At 36.9% G+C, this 20,321-nt stretch overlaps 2 pseudogenes and 1 further gene, besides 4 other annotated features; all 3 read right to left on the bottom strand.

The window, feature by feature from the left end:
- The window catches only part of IGK (immunoglobulin kappa locus), a 1,378,008-nt gene that overhangs the window by 234,946 nt on the left and 1,122,741 nt on the right, over positions 1 to 20,321 (bottom strand).
- Positions 10,165 to 11,923, bottom strand: IGKV3D-25 (immunoglobulin kappa variable 3D-25 (pseudogene); annotated as a pseudogene). The gene is given in 2 exon segments: positions 10,165 to 10,434; positions 11,872 to 11,923. Coding segments are annotated over 2 exon segments (322 nt in total).
- Positions 10,424 to 10,434: a sequence feature (IGKV3D-25 leader sequence).
- Positions 11,872 to 11,923: a sequence feature (IGKV3D-25 leader sequence).
- On the bottom strand, positions 13,719 to 14,471 carry IGKV2D-26 (immunoglobulin kappa variable 2D-26; annotated as a pseudogene). Its single transcript is given in 2 exon segments — positions 13,719 to 14,031; positions 14,423 to 14,471. Coding segments are annotated over 2 exon segments (362 nt in total), but the record flags the coding sequence as incomplete, so codon positions are not given.
- Positions 14,021 to 14,031: a sequence feature (IGKV2D-26 leader sequence).
- Positions 14,423 to 14,471: a sequence feature (IGKV2D-26 leader sequence).

Below are 20,321 nucleotides of genomic sequence, written 5' to 3'. Positions count from 1 at the left end.
GCTGCTGATTGTGGGAGCAAAATCTACCTCAGACTCGTGGTCACTCAACCATGCAGAGACACTAGGGTTCTGGATAGTGGCTTGCTTCCCTCAACCTTTGTCCAGAACTTGAAAATTGAGAACTCATGAACACAAATAAGGGAACAATACACACTGGGGTCTACCTGAGGGTGGAGGGTGGAAGAAAGGAAAGGAGCAGAAAAGATAACTATTGGGCACTGGGAATAATACCTGGGTGACAAAGTAATCTGTACAAGGAACCCCCATGGCACAAGTTCAGTTATGTAACAAAACTTCACATATATCCCTGAACCTAAAACAAAAGTTAAAAAAATAAAAATAAATAAAACTGAGGCGGCACAATATTCTCATTGACATCTGAATTTTTTTGAAAAAATCACATAAGCACAAATGTCAGTGAGGTTAAACACATCCCACTCTATGAGCTTATCATGTTACTCAACACTGTGAGTGCTCCATGAGAAATCAAATGTCACAGACCAAAAAAGGTACTAAAGATTCAACTTACAATGAGAAGAAAGCAAATTTCACCATCATGTGGCACCTCCTCATAATCCTTTTCCTCATCTGGGATCAGGCAGCAGGAGACAGAAGAGTTGAGCTCCTTATGTCCATTATGTACATGGCTGAGGCAGACACCTGCCCTGAGCCAGGGAACAGCCCACTAATAACGGCTTTGATATGTAGCCAAATGCTCTATGGAAAGCACACAAAGTCATCCCAGGCTGTGATATTTTGGAGCTTCTTGTTCCAGAACAGATTATTTCACAGCTGTCACACACACACGGATGCTCCTTCCCCAGTGTCTTCAGTCTGTAGAGGGACTATGTGGAACCCCTCGCTTAATAATACTCCAAATCACCACAACATTTCCTCAGTCCTCAGCTGCAGCTGGTCTTGTTCTGATGATGACTAATGCAAGTGACCACAAGCATGTTATATGAACCTTATAAGACCATGGTCATCATAAATAATAATCACTGATACAGCTATTAATTCAAGTGGCTTGAATACAGAGTCATTTTCTTGGTATGAACCTAACCTGGGAATGTTCCATACAAAATGGATCAAGATTATGAGGTCAGTTACCATACTAACAGAATTTGGGGATTTAGAGTTGAGGGAAGCAAAGTAAAAGAAGAATGTGGAGAATTTTATACAAAAGCCATACCGACTATAACTGAAAATAAAAAATCCATGCCTTACAGTGTAAATTCAAGAAAAAAAATTCATAATAAAGTGAAAACACAAAGAATTAATGAAGAAAGTTTACATTAAACTGCCTCAAAGGATAATGAGAGTTTTGATCAACATAGAAGACACTGCTAAAAACTCATTATTTGTTGTTTGATTTGATGAAGTTGCTTGAAGGGATAAAAAGTACAGTTTGAGTGAACTCCCATTCACAATTGCTACAAAGAGAATAAAATACCTAGGAATCCAGCTTACAAGAGATGTGAAGGACCTCTTCAAGGAGAACTACAAACCACTGCTCAATGAAATAAAAGAGGATACAAACAAATGGAAGAACATTCCATGCTCATGGGTAGGAAGAATCAATATTGTGAAAATGGCCATACTGCCCAAGGTAATTTATAGATTCAATGTCATCCCCATCAAGCTACCATTGACTTTCTTCACAGAATTAGAAAAAACTACTTTAAAGTTCATATGGAACCAAAAAAGAGCCCGCATTGCCAAGTCAATCCTAAGCCAAAAGAACAACGCTGGAGGCATCACACTACCTGACTTCAAACTATACTACAAGGCTACAATAACCAAAACAGCATGGTACTGGTACCAAAACAGAGATACAAACCAATGGAACAGAACAGAGACCTCAGAAATAGTGCCACATATCTACAACCATCAGATCTTTGACAAACCTGACAAAAACAAATGGGGAAAGGATTCCCTATTTAATAAATGGTGCTGGGAAAACTGGCTAGCCATATGTAGAAAGCTGAAACTGGATCCCTTTCTTACACCTTATACAAAAATTAATTCAAGATGGATTAAAGACTTAAATGTTAGACCTAAAACCATGAAAACCCTAGAAGAAAACCTAGGCAATACCATTCAGGACATAGGCATGGGCAAGGACTTCATGTCTAAAACACCAAAAGCAATGGCAACAAAAGCCAAAATTGAGAAATGGGATCTAATTAAACTAAGGAGCTTCTGCACAGCAAAAGAAACTACCATCAGAGTGAACAGGCAACATACAGAATGGGAGAAAATTTTTGCAACCTACTCATCTGACAAAGGGCTAATATCCAGAATCTACAATGAACTCAAACAAATTTAAAAGAAAAAAACAAACAACCCCATCAAAAAGTGGGCAAAGGATATGAACAGACACACCTCAAAAGAAGACATTTATGCAGCCAACAGACACATGAAAAAATGCTCATCATCACTGGCCATCAGAGAAATGCAAATCAAAACCACAATGAGACAGCATCTCACACCAGTTAGAATGACAATCATTAAAAAGTCAGGAGACAACAGGTGCTGGAGAGGATGTGGAGAAATAGAAACACTTTTACACTGTTGGTGGGACTGTAAACTAATTCAACAATTGTGGAAATCAGTGTGGTGATTCCTCAGGGATCTAGAACTAGAAATACCATTTGACCCTGCCATCCCATTACTGGGTATATACCCAAAGGAATATAAATCATGCTGCTATAAAGACGCATACACACGTATGTTTATTGTGGCACTATTCACAATAGCAAAGACTTGGAACCAACCCAAATGTCCAACAATGATAGACTGGATTAAGAAAATGTGGCACATATACACCATGGAATACTGTGCAGCCATAAAAAAGGATGAGTTCATGTCCTTTGTAGGGACATGGATGAAGCTGGAAACTATCATTCTCAGCAAACTATCACAAGGACAAAAAACCAAACACTGCATGTTCTCACTCATAGGTGGGAATTGAACAATGAGAACACATGGACACAAGAAGGGGAACATCACACACCGGGGCCTGTTGTGGGGTGGGAGGAGGGGGGAGGGATAGCATTAGGAGATATACCTAATGCTAAACGGCAAGTTAATGAGTGCAGCACACCAACATGGCACATGTATACATATGTAACAAACCTGCACGTTGTGCACATGTACCCCAAATCTTAAAGTATAATAAAAAAAAGAATTACACACTTAAAAAACAAAAAAGAAAGAAATAATTTATCCTATAGGATTTCCCACATTTAGGGTTTGCCTGACTGTATCCTCATGATTTCACTGAGTTTTAAATAATAATTACATTATTTCCAAGGCAAAAAAATAAAAAAGAAAAGTACAGTTTGAGGGAAAAAAAATTTAAAAAACACAGACATTTGAAGCAGGAAGCCCTGAAAGGAAGCTGTGGCTTTATGCTCTGTGGAATTTTGACTGCTGAGTGCCTTCTTCCTGAAAGGGAGTATCTACAGCATTGTCTGTCAAGTATGTGCATCCTAGTCCTGTCTCATCATTGTTCACAAGTCTTGAGTGGGATAGGGGGACAGGTGCTATTTAGGAACTATGGGCAAAGAGGCTCAACTGCACAGAGTCTGATCTAGATGAGGAGATCTTGAACTTTAACTTACCACCATCATGGGAAATACTTGTAGATGTTGCAGATGAAAATTAGTATATGTTGCATACAGTAAAAATGTAGATTGATTTAAACAAGCGTAGAGAGTTGCCAACTGGATACTCCAAGATAGTCACAAGATCTTCCATCTTATTAGTTCCTCTAATAGTGTGATGTTGATAATTTCCCTATTGGACATATTAGCATACTTTTCCCCCTTTGGAATCTTAGTGAACCTATAATTGTGATAGAAGTAACACTATGTGTCTTCTGAGGCTATAGTAAGTCATAAGAGGTTATAAAACATCTGTCTGGTACTCTTCGAGGAAGTGTACAAGAAGCCAAGCAGGAGCATGTAGAGATTCACAGCCTCAGCTGAGGACTCATCCTATAGCCTGAATTGGCCACCTTTTATATGACTCCATCCCCAGCTGCTATCTGACTACATCCATGTAAGAAATCCCAAGCAGAAATCTTGGTCAGCCCAGGAAACACCTAACAACTACAAAGATAATAGTATAATGATGTCAATTGTAATGTGTCATTAAGTTTTGGGTGATTTGTTCTGAATCAGTAGTAACTAGATGCCAACTCATAAATATAGAAAGAATTTGGAAGTAGAAAGTCATCTATGGTTACTAAATGAATTTGGGTAACGTATACATTGGAGTTCTTATATTACTTTGGCAATTTTTCTTTAACAATATGCCCAAATAAAAAGTCACATAAAATATGTTCAACAAAACCAAACAGAAATGTACAAAATGCAGTTGGATAAAAATAAAGAAAACTCCAATAAATGGAAGGTTGCACCATGCTCATGAATTGGGAGACTTAATAGTGTATATTCTCCCTAAATTTGTTGAAAACATTCACAATAAAAAATCTCAGAGAATTATTGTTGCAATTGAAAAGACATTACTTAAATATATATGAACATTCAAAATGCAAAAAGTAACCAAGACAGTCTTGCTAAGATAAAAAATGTTGGAGGACTAATACTACACAATACCAAAGCCTGTAAGTTACAGGAATTAAAATATATGGTATCAGTGAAGTGTCAAACAAATTAGCCAGTTCAATCAGTTTGAGAATCCAGAAACTGCTCCACCCATGCGTAGTCATTTGATTTACAATAAAAGTGCTACTTCAAAGTAGTAGAAGTAAAATAAATTAATCATACTGGATCAATTCAGTATCTGTATTATATGAAAATGAATCTTAATTCTATTCCATATACAAATATTAATCATCAATAAATTGTAAATATAAATATGAAAGGCCCAAGAGTAAATCCTCTACAAAAGGGTATAGAAGCATATTTCATGACCCTAGAGATAAAAAAAAATTCTTAGAGAAAATAAACAAAATATCTAGCATAAAGAAAGAAATTAATAAATTAGACTTCACTAGTATGACATCCTTTTTATAATGTTTAAAAGAAATAAACAGCTTTTTAAAGGAATACATGTAGAAGAAATAAACTACATTGATAAAGAATATTGAATTGAAAATTTTGATTAACTTGATGGTGGTGGGAAATAATATGTTTAAGAGATTGTGGAGAACCTCAAACTGGATATGTTGATATCTTAAGTGGTTGTTTTGCAGGATAGTAACATGAATTTATTATATTACTAATATTAATGAATGAATTAGTGAGTGCTAAAAATATGAATAAATAAATAAGAACCATAATGGACTAATAATAAAAGTGCATTATGGACCAACATTATAATTGTGTTATTAACCATCATTGATTATTATTCCTTGCAATCAGTTAATAAAGTTGAGGCCCATTAAAAAAGATAATAGAAAAAGAAAAATGAAAGGGAGGAAGGAGGAATTGAAAGGAGGAAAAGAAGATGTTGTAAAAAAAATAAAGAGAAAAGTTAAGTAAAAAAAAAAACACTCTTGTGGACTCCAGAACATTTCTACATTATGTTTTGCATAATCAATAAAATAAAGAAAAATATATAACCTAGGATGAAAAATAGCACAAAATATGTAATTATCGAAAATGTAAGCATAGTTCCTTAAACTCTGCTGCAATATAAGAAAAATAAAACAAACTGCATCATTAAAAACAAAACCCAATATTCAAGACAATATAGCAGAATTGGCACTGCAATTGATCAAAACAGTGATATGGAAGGCAAACTAGAGTAGCACTTTTGTTTTTCAAAGGAGAGAATCATGACATTAGATAATAAAGAGAGAGCTCAGACAGAAAAACAGAGTAGAAAGTTAAACCTGAGAATTAAACATTTTCCTGAGGAAGAAATGAGTCCTTAGAAAAGAACCAGTAAGAAGAAATGTAATCTGAAATAAAATTTCCATGTCTGTTAACTACTAATGAGTGTAAATTCAATGGAGTCACACAATTGTATTCAAACATTTATAAAATGAGAAAACACATATATTTCATAATAAAATACAAATTCAAAGAATGTAAGGGTTATTTTTTTCAAAGATAAATGTCAGGCTTGCTTCAGAGTCCTGGCCTGCAAAATGAACTCCCAGTAATCAATGTAATTATATTTGAAAATGTGCAAAGTTTTTATAAAAGAAATTATACTGCATGCATTTTCTATTGAACTAGGGAAATAAAATATGAAGAAAATTTTTAATTTGAAACAAGTAAATTATGATATGCATAAGGATTTATGAAACTAGAAACCCTTGAAAAATGTATTACAGCTGATAAAGAGATGAAGTAAAGTCGGTTGCTCAAGAAGAGGAAGCTGTGGTTTGTGATTGTAAAAGAATGTTGGTGAGGATAAAAATCAACAAAACCTATAAGTTAATCTACCTAAGTTAAAAATGTGTTGATAAATGCAAAGTCATTCCATAGGAAAAATTCCTCAAATATAAGGCATATAATGCAACGCAATTTAATTGTAATAATCTGACTATAACAACGACAATATTACTCATGCAAAATTAGGAATCATAATTGAAGGGCAATAACAAGTTTTACCATCATACTGGTTTAATAGATGATAAAATTTAATAACCAGTATTTTCCTTGACTTCAAAATTTAAAATTATAGATTTATATAGGCATAACAAAAAGCAAATATGACATATACGTTTATATTTTGTTCTTTCAGTTTATTCCCATTCTATCTTGTTTAGGATTCACTCACGGTGGTCATTTATTAATTTTTTTTAAATAAAACATCTAACCTTTCGAGATCATTCTACTCTATATAAGGAATTACAACAACTGACACAAAAAGTTAATTAGTGAGAGAAAGAGATGTCAGTGCTCAGTCCTTTTATGTCAGGCACTAGTCCAGAACACAAGATCCTAAGGACAGACACACTACCTAAAGAACAAGGCATTCTGCTTAAATGTTACCTCCTTCCTAAAGGAAATTTTCACTTCACTTTCCTCAGATCCCCGTCTTTCATTCCGATTAGCACTCCTTAGTTTGTGTCTTGAACCAGTTCTTCCTTGTCTGAAGGAACTTTTCCACTTCCTGAGTCCATTCCCAACTCTAAACACCATTGCGAGTGAGTGCCATCCACCAGGTAGTAAAAACATGTAACCAGGTTTGGGAAGACTAGGAAAAATTTAAAAACTATTTAATGGGCATCTCTAAGCTACCTTGGATTTATTTTCTTACATCTGGATATATTCTAGTTCTTCTAAATACCTCCTCACTCAGAGGTTTTTCTTCTCATTGCATAGGTTGGCAATAAAATAGAATCTTTGCACTGCTGGTGGAAATGAAAAATGGTGCAGCAGGTTTGGAAAACAGTCTGCAATTCAAGTGGTTAAACATAGAGTTACCACATGATCCAGGAAGCTCTTAAGTGTGGACCCAAGAAAAAGGAAAACATATATCTACACAAAAACTTGTACTTCAATGTTCTTAGCAAGTTACTGGCACATCTTTAGAATTATTTAGGAACAGCTTTGTCCTAAAAAGGGGTCACCAGAATTCTAAGTGATGCTCTTCAACTAGCTGGATGATCTTGAATAATTCCTATCAACAAATCTATCTGGGTTTTAGTCATCTCATCTTTACTGAAGGATATAGCAAGTATAATTTTGTGTATGTTTTTATTTCACTTTTTATAGTGTAAAATTACCAGTGTCTTCAGTGAATAAATAAAAGTGAAAAACACATTGAAGCAAATTGTTCTGATTCTACAAATATTGACTTAATTGGATTCGTACATTTAGGGTAAATAGGAACCATCATTAAAATGCAATACATTTTGAGTAGCTTAGAATTTTGATGCTTTCCAGGACAAAAAAATAAAAGAGATTATAGTGACTCATGTGTTCCTGATGACACTAAGAGTGTGGTAACCTTGTAAACCCTGGGCTTCCTTACATTTGGTGCCCTGGTTTCACAGATGGAATGTGAAAATGAATACAGATTATAATTAAATATAATTTGATTAGATAAGGAAAGAAGTTAGGATGCATTGATTGGTGCAAATAACATTATGCTTCATAACTTTTTTAAAATAAACTTTTGATAAGATAAAACTTACCCATACATGTATATTCACAAATCTCAACATGTGTATATGCACTCACAAATTATAATGCAGGTTTTAATAAATTTTTCAGAGATTGAACACACTGTATAACAACCGTACCAAAGCAGAACACTCCCGGTCTCCTAGAAGCACCTTCTGTCTCCTCCCAAACATTAGCCCCACTCTTCTCCAATGCAAATTTAAATCTCACTTTCAGTAACATTGATTTAGTGATGGCGGTTTTTGAACTATATAAAAAGGAATCATGGATAGTGAGCTTTTTATTTCTAACGTCTTTTGCGCATTATTATGCTAGTAAGATACACCCACATTCATGGATGTAGTAGCAGCTTTTATATTTTCATTCATCCATAGTATTTAATTGTATGCACCTACCTCATTTTATTTATTCAAATTACTCTTGATTTGTATTTAGAATATTCCCAGTTTGGGGCTATCACTAATAATGCTATGAGTGTTATTTTATTTATTTATTTATTTATTTATTTATTTATTTATTTATTTTTGAGATGTAGTCTCACCCTGTCACCCAGGCTGGAGTGCAGTGGCATGATCTCGGCTCACTGCAACCTTCACCTCCCGGGTTCAAGCGATTCTTCTGCCTCAGCCTCCCTAGTAGCTGGGACTATAGGCGTCCGCCACCACGCCCAGCTAATTTTTGTATTTTTAGTAGAGACAGGGTTTCACCATATTGGCCAGGCTGGTCTCAAACTCCTGACCTTGTGATCTGCCTGCCTCAGCCTCCCAAAGTGCTGGGATTACAGGCTTGAGCCACTGCGCCCGGCCAAGTGTTATTGCACATTTCTTTCTGTGCACATCTGTACACATTTCTGAGTGGAAGGGCTGGATTAAAAGGGATTATATATTCAGTGTCAGTTCTCCAACTTGTGGTACCACTTTATATTCCCAAACATAATGTGTGGCCCTTCTAGTTCCCCCTTTCCGTCACTGTATTTGGCATTGTCCCTTTGAGTCATCCTATCGAAGTTTTAGTGGTAGACAGTTGTGATTTTCATTTGTAGGACTGGGATGATTATTGATGTTGGACAGCTTTTTATTGTTTTCACTCTGTTGTGCAGTGTCACCTTTGTCCCTAAAAAGTGTCACTATATGTGTTAGTCATTCTCAGAATACCCTCTTCTGTTGCATTAGGCAATTTGTTTGAACTCACATCAGCAGCACGGTTCGAGTATCCAAGTAGTGTAAGTCCTCATTCTTGGGCTTCTTCGGGTTTATTGTGGTTATTCAAACTCCTTAACAATGTAATATGATATTTAGAATCAGCTTTTACATTTCCATTTACAAACAGTTTGAATTTTGATTTCGATTATCTTTAATATATCAATCTGTGAAGAATGAACATCTTTACAATACTGGGACTTTCAACCTTTGAAAGTACTATGGCCTTCCATTGGCTTAGATTTTCTTTGATTTCTTTGAATTATATTCTGGAGCTGTCAGTATATTTTGTTAGTTTTTTCTAATGCCTCTTGGTTTGATGCTACTATAAATGATGTGTTTCATAATTTTAATTTTTAGCAGTTGTTACATTTATATAAAAATAAATATATTTTTATATTGATCTTTAATCTATTTACTATGTATCTCATTGATTCTAATAATTTCTGTGTAGACAATTTGAAATTTCTCCCCCACACAGTCCTTTCATCAGTGAATTGTTATACCTTTAATTCTGCCTTTCTAATTCTTCTTCTTTATCATTGTCGTTGCTACTTTATCGCACTGGCCAGGACCTTTAGAGGCGTCCACTCATGTGAGTCTGATCCAATGGCCTTGACCATGAAATTGTGCCTGAACCTGGCTGTGCATTTGGGTCTGAGAAAAAAATCCATCAGTGAAACTATAAATATTATAAGGAATTACTTTTGAGAACCTCAGAATTTCCAATCAAAGCAGAGATGCTAAAACTGAGCAGCACCACATCAGATGACTAAAAAGGAAGCAGGTGGTATAATCAAATAAACACCTTAGGTCTCCTGGAGGTTTTTGTTGCATGTTGAATCAGTATGGGACACCAACTACTATGCTGATAACAGTGATGAAGTGCAAATCTTCAGGCTCCAGCCTGCCGATGGTGAGAGTAAGCCCTGTCCTGACCCACTATCACAAATCAGGGCTGTACCATAGATGAGGAGCCTGGGAGCCCGCTCAGGTTTCTTCTGGTACCAGGCTTAGTAGCTGCTAACACTGACTGGCCCTGCAAGTCAGGGTGGCTTTTTTCTCCAGAGACAAAGACAGGGAAGCTGGAGACTGTGTCATCACTGTTTCTACAGTGAAATCTGAGATTAGAAATAAAATGCCTTACAGTCTTTAGGATGGCTATTATAAAAAAGACAAGAGATAAATATTGATGAGGGTGTGAAGAAAATAAAACACTTGTACATTGTTGGTGGGAATGATGATTGGTGCACCCATTATGGAAAACAGTATGGAGGTTCCTAAAGAAATTCAAAACCTAACCACCTTATAACCCAACAGTGACCCTATTTTGGATACATACACAGAAGAGATGAAATCACCACCTTCTTTTAAAGATACCTACACTCCCGTGTTTATTGCAGCATTATTCACAAGAAATGAGAAAAACCTGAGCATCCGTGGACAAATAAATGAATAAAGAAAATGTGGTATACATAAATGCACACACACACACACACACACAATGGAATATAATTCAGCCTTAAACAAGAAGATTCTTTATTATTATTATTATTATTTTTACTTTAGAGAAGTCTCACTCTTGTCGCCCAGGCTGGAGTGCAATGATGCTATCTCAGCTCACTGCAACCTCCTCCTCCCAGGTTGAAGCGATTCTCCTGCCTCAGCTTCCTGAGTAGTTGGGATTACAGGCCCATGCCAACACGCCCAGCTAATTTTCTTTTGTATTTTTTGTATTTTTAGTAGAGACAGGGTTTTGCCATGTTGGCCAGGCTGGTATTCAACTCCTGATGTCAGGTGATGCACCCGCCTAGTGCTGGGATTACGGGCATGAGCCACCACACCCAGCCGAAAAATAAGATTCTTCTATTTGCCGTAATATGGATGGACCTAGAGGACAGTATTCTAAGTGAAAAAAGCGAGACACAGAAATAAAAATATTGCCTGATTTTACTTACATGTAAACCTAAAAATAAATTAAATAAGTAAAAAGATAAATTATGCAGAAATAGAGAATGAAACAGTCGTTATTAAGGGCCGGGGGTGGAACGGGAAGAAATGGGAAGATGTAGGTCCAAAGATGCAAGGTAGTAGATATTTATGAATAACGAGTATAGAGATCTACTGTAGAAAATGAGGGCTATAGTTAATAAAACTGTACTGTATTAGAGATTTTTGTTAAATAAGTAGATTCCAGCTGCCAGCTGCTCTTGTCGCAGACGAAAAAGTAACTATGTGAGATGATAAATGTTCATTCTCTTCACTATAGTAAGCATTTTACTATCTATATGTATGCCACAACATCATATTGCAAACCTAAAATATACAGAATAAAATTTATTTTTTGAAAAAACAGTTTAAACAGAAAAACAAATAATCACACATGTAATCTAGATTATACCCATTGTCTTTCCAATAGAGTCAAGACCATTGATCTACATTGAGCTTTAATTATTGTGCTTGCTGAGCAGAGATGCCAGGTTGAAGGACCCAACAAAGTTGAGAGAGTTTTCACTGACACACAGAACCCCCCACAACCCCCCGCATATTCCCCTCACCTGGGACCCAGAGTAACATAAAGAAATGATAAATACATGAGCTGATGCACATCCTAAATATCCTGATTTGATCATTTTTCAACATATGTACATATCAAGACATCAAAGTGTACTCCATAAATATGTACAATTACAATGTGCCAATAAAAACAAATAAAATGCAAAGTTACCTATTAGTGACATTAGAAAGTAATGGAAGAAATGAGGACTAGGCGATCTAAAATTCTAGAGTAAAAAAACAACTAATTCTAGTTGAGTTGGTGTTCATCTGACATTTTGTTTTTCTGCCTTTTTTTTTTACCAAATGTGCGTTCGGATAGAAATTTTGATTTGGCACAGACAGAGAAACCCAGCAAGAAGAGAGAACATAACTGAGCTTTGAAGGTTGCACAGGGCAATTTCTGTGCAACCATAGCCAGATTTTTCATGTGGCATTTGCTGAGTTCTGAGTCAGGAGACAGGCTGTGGGAGTTTGGGTAGGAAGGCAGAAATCTCCAACACTCAGGATGTTTTTTCCTCCAGTGCTGTGCAAATCATCCTTTGTATATGTCTCAACCATGGACATTGATCACTATCCCTTTCTGCTGGGCCTTTTGGTTAACACGTCACTGCATGTTCATCTCCACAAACCTGACCACATCATCTCTGCTATAGGGGCAGAATGAGTTCTAGAAGATCTCTTCATGCTGAGTTGAATGGGATTGAGTCTTTTTGCACGGGAACTTCACTAAACCTTTGATGATTACAAACCTAAACACCTTTTCTCACCATTTTCCCATGAAACTTGCAGTGGCACAGGCTCAACTCAGGAAGCCAGGCAGTGGTCTCTTCAACTCTGTGACTCTTCACAAGAAATACATCGGGACTTGATTTTAGGTTTATGTCATCAACTTGCAACACCCACTGGCATCTGAAGTTCACCAAATGTAAGTTAAAATGCAGGAGGATTGTCTAATACGGTAGACACAGTAGCTCATATCTACTGTGTTCCTTGTGTGTTCCCATTCCTGAAGTACCCTCGAAGTCTAAAACTGTTATCATTCTCTATTCTTCTAGCAATATATAGGGTGAATTCTATGCCCTGTATATTCCAGTGTATGCTTTTATTTTTAAAACCCAACTTTTGGAATTTCAAGAATTCCTTTTATGATCTATCAGTAAGAAGTAATCAAGGCAAATCAAAGAGTTTTAGCATTTGGATCTTGTATCTGACATTAATTTACAAAAGTCTAGGCACTCAAAAACCAAGATTTTTGCTAATTGCCCCCAACCAGCTACCCGTATAAATGGGGAGCCACATTTTACAACTAGTGTAAAATGTTGTCTACAGTATCTTTATTACATAGGAAGATAAGGAATAAGTAAGGAAAATAGAAAGCTTGGAAGGTGGAAAATACCAATTTCTAAATATGACCAAATAATTATCCTATTAAAATATATAAAAATGGATGAAATACATACAAATGAGGAGGCACTCAGCATGTGTTGCCAACATTTGTATCAATTGCCTGGCACTTATGCTGATTAACTACAATTGAGAAATGTAAGAAAGGAGGATTCGAATGAGCTTTTATTCAGTTGCATCATGAATCAGCATCAGCTCCATGGGACCTTCCCCATTCTCCTACTGCTTTTGCCATGTCAAGGCTTTTGCAGCTACACAAATGAGTAGTTCCTGAGATGTAACCAAGGAATTCATGAGACCAATCTACTCCTCTGAGTTGTCCAACATTTTCCTCATGCACAGACTCAGAGAACTTGCTGTGCTGCTCCCCAGACAAACATCACATGTGAGCAGCTGGGCCACTTCAAGCAGAGAGGTTTGTGCTCAGGGCTGTAGCACTGTGGGAGGATCTTGTGCATCTTGCATGCAGTAATAAACTCCAAAATCCTCAGCCTCCACCCGGCTGATTTTCAGTGTGAAATCTGTCCCTGACCCGCTGCCACTGAACCTATCTGGCACTCCAGAGAACCGGTTGGAAACTTCATAGATCAGGAGCGTGGAGACTGGCCTGGCTTTCTGCAGAAACCAATACAAATAGGTGTATCCATCACTATGCAGGAGGCTCTGACTAGACCTGCAGGACATGGAGGCCTGCTCTCCAGGGGTGATAGACAAGGAGAGTGGAGTCTGGGTCATCACAATCTCTGCACTGGATCCTAAAATAGATAGAAAGAAGTGGAAGGATATGTACAAATATCATGTGTCATTTATCATAAATTTTCATTTTTTATTTCAGGCTATATAATTTTTTGTTGTTTGTATTTATACACTAAACATATTCCAAATTTGCAAGCTGCAAAGGGGATTCTAGAAGTCACCTACACCACCTCCCTTTCTCTGTGTGACGATATTCACCAGAGCACACAGGTCCTTGCTTCTTTTTGAATCGTCCTCACTCTCACAGATTTAAACCTCACATTCCCCATCCTGGAGAACAAGACCTGTACATCTAACACATGGGCAGGGCAGAACACACATGGAAGGCAGTGGGGTCCCCAGGCTTACCTTCCCACCCCATTCTCCTCCCTCATCTCCTTCTGTCCTTACCAGGGACCCAGAGCATTAGCAGCCCCAAGAGCTGAGCAGGGAGCCTCATAGTGAGAAGGTGAACTGAGGAGTCCTGATCAGTCAAGGTAAGGGTTAGAGCTGAGCTTTTATCTCAGACCCACAAGGGAAGGTCCTCCCTAGAGGACAATATGCAAATCCCCCGGTGGGTGCAGTGATGCTAAGCGCAACAACAGGAGGATGAGGGCTTCTCTTGTGGGCAAGGGGACATAAAATATCCTGCGTGTTTCAAGGAAAACTAACCAAGATAAAATCTGTGTTGCTTCAGTTGGAGAAGAGACATATTATAATATTTCCTTTTCTTTCCACCTGTTTTTCAACAGTTCTTTAGCACTTTTCCAGGCACATTTTGCACTTGTCTTTAATAAAGTTGAGTTTCCATAAATATTGGCTGATTCTTTTTTCTTGCCTCCAATTTTCTTTAAAAGAATCTAGGTTTGGCTTTTCTATTTTTTTTTCATTGAAATAAACCACATATAAAGGGCAGAAATCCTAAATGTGGAATGAATAAAGTTTTATGTATATTCACTATCCAGCTGAAACTATAGAATATTTCAAAATTTCTGGATGATTCTCTCGTACACCTTCCCATTCAATAACTGCCTCCCCATCCCAACCAAAGTAACTGTCTTTCTGACATCTACCACAATAGTTTGTTTGTACTTGGTAGTGAATATCATAGAAATTGAAGTAAACATTTTTTTATCATTGTGTCTATTTTTTTCCCAGTTCTTTACTATTTTGAGGCCTTTATTTCTGTTTGTGGATTCAAATTACTGTCCTCTATAATTTCATGTGATTCTGAGCAATGTTTTCTTAAATTGATTTCAGATAATTTATTGAATATCTACAAGTAATATTTTCTTTTCATTTGTGTTTATCAAGGTAAGGACTAAGCTCTGATTTTTTTTTTCCTTGTCTCAGTTCCTATCTAAGGAGTCTGGGGAGTCATGCCCTACAAACTATAAATTCTCATCAGATGGGTTTTATTTAACCCTACATATCCTTGGACTTACTTTCCAACCTGACTGTGGTGGAACATTATGCAACAAGGCAGAAAATTAAAATATTTTACCCCAAAACATGTTTCTTTGCCCTATCTTGAAATGGCCTTGCAAAGCTGTCCTTTGTGGGGAAAAATTTGCATCTGTAAAGAATCTCTATTAACATAGCCAGATCTTTTTCTTCCAGGCTCTCCCAATCTTAAAGAAGAGTCTAGCACATTTTAAAGATCTGAATAGGAAATATTTGTAATCTATTTTCTCTAAGGGCAGCCACTGTATGACTTCAAAAGAACCTTGGTCTTCCGCAGTCTTTTATCTTAACCTGAACATTTATTTTCTATTGATCCCAGGTCTTTAGACAAACTCAACCAATTGTCAACAAGGAAATGCTAGTTAGAGCCTGGAACCTCCCCCGCTTCACCACCCCCCATCCTCACCCCTGCTTTGAGTTGTCCCGCCTTTCTGGACCAAACCAATGTATTTCTTAAATGTGTTTGATTGACGTCTCATGCCTCTCTAAAATGTATAAAACCAAGCTGCGCCCCAACCACCTTGGGTACATGTTCTCAGGACCTCCTGAGGGTTGTGTTGGGGGCCACAGTCACTCATTTGGCTCAGAATAAATCTCTTCAAATATTTTAGAGAGTTTGACTCTTTATCGACAAAGAAATATGTTTAGTTTGCTTTATTCTTAAAGTATACTTTTGCTGCATATAGAACTTTGGGTTGATTTTTTTCTTTCAGCATTTGAGTATGCCATTCCACCGTCTTCTAGTCTCCATTAGAAATAATGGACCCTTATTCAGTGTCTACATTATTGTATCTTTGTACATAGTGGTTTTTTTCTCTTGAAGATTTTCCCTTTGTAACTGTATTTCAGCATTTTAATTACAATGTGTGTAGTTATGAATCTTTTTTGCTTCCCCTGGATGTGTTTCATCACATTTCTTGGATCTATATAGTAATGTATTTCAATACATTTGAAAAGATGTTCCCATTATTTCTTCACATACTTTTTCAGCTCCTTTCTCTCTCCCTTCTCCTTTGTGACTCCCATCCACATTTGTTGGTGTTCTTCACACTGACCTATACATCTCTGAGGTCTTGCTTGGCTGCTTACATCTTTATTCTTTGGAACAGATTATTTCTATTGGTTGATCTTCAAGTTCACTGATTCTTCTGACACTGTCAACTATTGTGGTGCCTATCTAAATTTTCAATTGAGTTATTCTACTTTTCAGTTTTAAAATTCTCTTTTGGTATTTTTTTGTCTTCATAACTTCCACTGTTCTACTGAAAGTCGCTATTTTGAAACCACCATTGCAAAAATTTTAATAGTAAGAAAATTATGGCAGTAAAAGAGATCTGATCTAACCCACCTCCCCATCTTGCATTTTCCTTAATTATTCCTGGGCTTTTGGGCAGAGCTAACTTTGGAAGCCATTTAGGTTATAGTTTAAATGATGATATGGGTTACCCAAAACTCAGCTACCTTTGTAAAGATCATGAAAGGCCATCAAATAGTGGGAAAAAAGGAGCCTGATTCTGCTAAGGTGTGGACTGGTCACCAGATACTCCTTCAGATAACACCACTATTGTAGATTGGCCTTTTAAGATATATTTTCAAGTATTGTTGCTTATCTGACAGCAATGGCTCCACCTGGACCTGCTAACCCGCATCCTGTGGCCCCACTCAGGAGAGATTCAGCTCCAGAGGACAGCTCTGACATTTTATGACTTCATTTCTGACCCAACCAATCAGCAGCAAGCACCCATTACCTGGCCACCCCTTCCTCCAAACTGCCTTTGAAAAACCCCTAACTACAGGCCTTCAGGGAGATTGATTTGAGTACTAACTCTGTCTCCCATGTGGTGTGGCCAGCCTTATGTCTACTAAAACTCTTTATTGCAAATGAAACTGACTTTGCAAAATTATGACTGAGACAGTGAAAGAGGTCTAAATTAACTGACTCCATCTTGCTTCTAACCTCCAAGTTGTCCTTGTTCATTCCTGGGCATAGGCTGAACTAACTTTGAGAGGAATTTAGTTTAGAGTTTAAAACAAAGACAATAACAGCCTTTTCCCAAAGCAGATGTTCTTCTTGCCTGGGGACTAGATAGGCTTTGTAGGACTAACATTAGCCACAAGATTGGAAATTATGGTTTATGAGTCATGCAGCTGGAGGCTACAAGGTTCTGACCCCCTCAAACTGCTCCTAAGATCAGTGCTTGAGATATTTTGATCTTGCACTTGACGGATCAGCTGGCACCACCCAGATCAATAAACTGCTAATCTGATCTTATGGTCTCCCACCCAGGAACTGACTCAGTGCAAGAAGACAGCTTTGAATCCCTGTGATTTCATCTCTGACCAATCAGCACTCCTGGCTCACTGGCTCACCCACCACCCACCAAGTTGTCCTTAAAAATTCTGCTCCCTAAATGCTCAGCAAGACTGATTTGATTAATAATAAAACTCTGGTCTCCCGCATAGCCAGCCCTGCCTGAATTACTCTTTCTCTGTTGCAATTCCCCTGTCTTGAGAAATCAGCTCTGTCTAGGCAGCAGGCAAGGTGAACACGTTGGGCAGTTACACAATGTCGTGGTCTTCATTTGTGCAGTGGTTAGGAAAAATCCCTCAGCTAGGTACAATGTGTTTAATCATTTTTTTCATATTTTCCATTTTAAGTATTTGATCATAGAGTACTGATCGAAAGAAATAAATTTTTTAAACATCTTTAAAATAACTCTATTGAATTCAACATCTCATTTGATCTTTTACAACTGCAGGAGGTGAGCAGCAGGTAAGCAAGCAAAGCTTCCTCTGTCTTTAGAGCCTCTCCCCATTGCTTGCATTACCACCTGAGCTCCACCATCTGTCAGATCAGCAGCAGCATTAGATTTTCACTGCAGTGCAAACCTCATTTTGAAATGTACATGTGAGGGATCCAGGTTGTGTGCTCCTTATGAGAAACTAATGCCTGATGATCTGTCACTGTCTCCCATCACCCCCAGATGGCACCATCTAGTTGCGGGAAAACAAGCCCAGGGCTTCCACTGATTCTACATTATGATGAGTTGTGCAATTATTTCATTATATATTACAATGTAATAATAATTGAAATAAAGTGCACAATAAATATAATGTGCTTGGATAGTCCTGAAACCATCCCCCACTCTGAGACCCATGGAAAAATTGTCTTCCATGAAACCAGTCCCTGGTGCCAAAAAGGTTGGGGACCACTGCTATAGATAATAGAAACCGGGATTGTCATTTCAAGAAACAGAAATCACAAATAAGAAAATGAGGAAAAATAGAATGATACTTGTGGAATTGCTCCTTAGGAGCTTATGTTCTTTTCTTACTTATATTTTCATTTGTATATTTTAATTAGTTTTGAAATAAATTTAGATTTATGCAAAGTTTCAAAAGTAGTAGATTGTTTCAATATACTTCTCCTCCACCTTCTCTTAATATTAAACATCTTAAATAACCAAAGTGGGATGATATAAAATGAAAAATTAATATTGATACAATAGTATTTACTCCATATTTGGATCCCAATAAATTTTTCACTAAAGATTCTTTCAAGTTCCAGTATCAAATCCAGGATGACATATTGCACTTAATATTCTTGTCTCCTTAATCTCCTCCAATCTGTGATCATTGTTTATTCTTTCTTTGTCTTTCATGACCTCAATGCTTGCAAAATGTACTATCAATGATTTTTAAGATTGCCCTTCTAATTTTCTCAACTAATTCAGATTATATGTTTTTGACAAGAATATCACAAAAGAGATGGTCCTCGTCAGCCAGTGCATCATCTTGAGTTGCATAATGTCAACATGTCTTGTTACCTGTGATGATGAAGGACCGTGATCAATAAAATCCTTTTTGTAAAATGTTTTGGACAAAGGGAACACACGCAACTGCTTTCACTGCTCTTCCCATTTGGTCATGTCCTCACATTATTAGAAATAATTTATTTTTCTCTGAGCCTGCCATTACTTATTTTTTTTTCAGAATTTAGTTATTTTTGAAGTCTTCTAACCAATTAAGAATATTGAAAAAATAATGTTCATTCTTAAACAGTAAATTTTCAGTGATGCCATTTACCAATGGAATGTTGTTAGCTTGAATAATGGAACAGGGGAATAGGATTATTAAAACATGGAAGTATTACACCAACAGACAGCTGTTACTAAGCCATGTAATTGGATAAATGAACTGAATTTTCTACCACTAGGAATGTTATAGAAATCAAATGGAAAGATACTGCAAGCACTGAGCTGCTCCTAACTGGAGAGATTGAAATACAATTGCTGCCATATTATATAATTCACACAGTTGAGACACAATATTGGAGAAGATGAAAGTCTAGGGCCTCAGTTTAAAATATATAGCATTTGTTATGAAGAATATATATTTTTCCAAGTTTTTGCATTTGTCATCTGATGAATCAGTGGGATTATGACTGAGTGTTGCTAGGGGTACGGAAAGAGGAGCTATTAGAGAAGGGCTACCAGACTTTACTGGATATAATTAGCCTAACTTGGACTTGTGGAGAAGAAGACTTAGAAGAAAAGCATTTGGAAAAGCCACACATGTTTTAAAAATCAAATACTTGCATCTTGAAAAACTATTTCCAGAGAAAAGCAATGACTTAGCAAAAAACTTAATGACAGTTTAGGTGACCAATTCAGTCTCATACACGTGCAGCTGCTTTGCTCTTTTTGCCTTGCATCCCTGAGGTCTCAGAAGGGCCTAGGCTTGAAAGGACTTGTTTCCCCAGAAATCAAGCAAGTAAGAAAATAAATTGACAACATACTTAGAGGAGAAGCCTATCAAACTTCCAGGGGAAAACCTGGGATTAGGG

Source organism: Homo sapiens, chromosome 2 (genome assembly GCF_000001405.40).
Source record: "Homo sapiens chromosome 2, GRCh38.p14 Primary Assembly".
NCBI lineage: Eukaryota > Metazoa > Chordata > Mammalia > Primates > Hominidae > Homo > Homo sapiens.
This window is presented reverse-complemented; position numbering and strand designations above follow the sequence as displayed.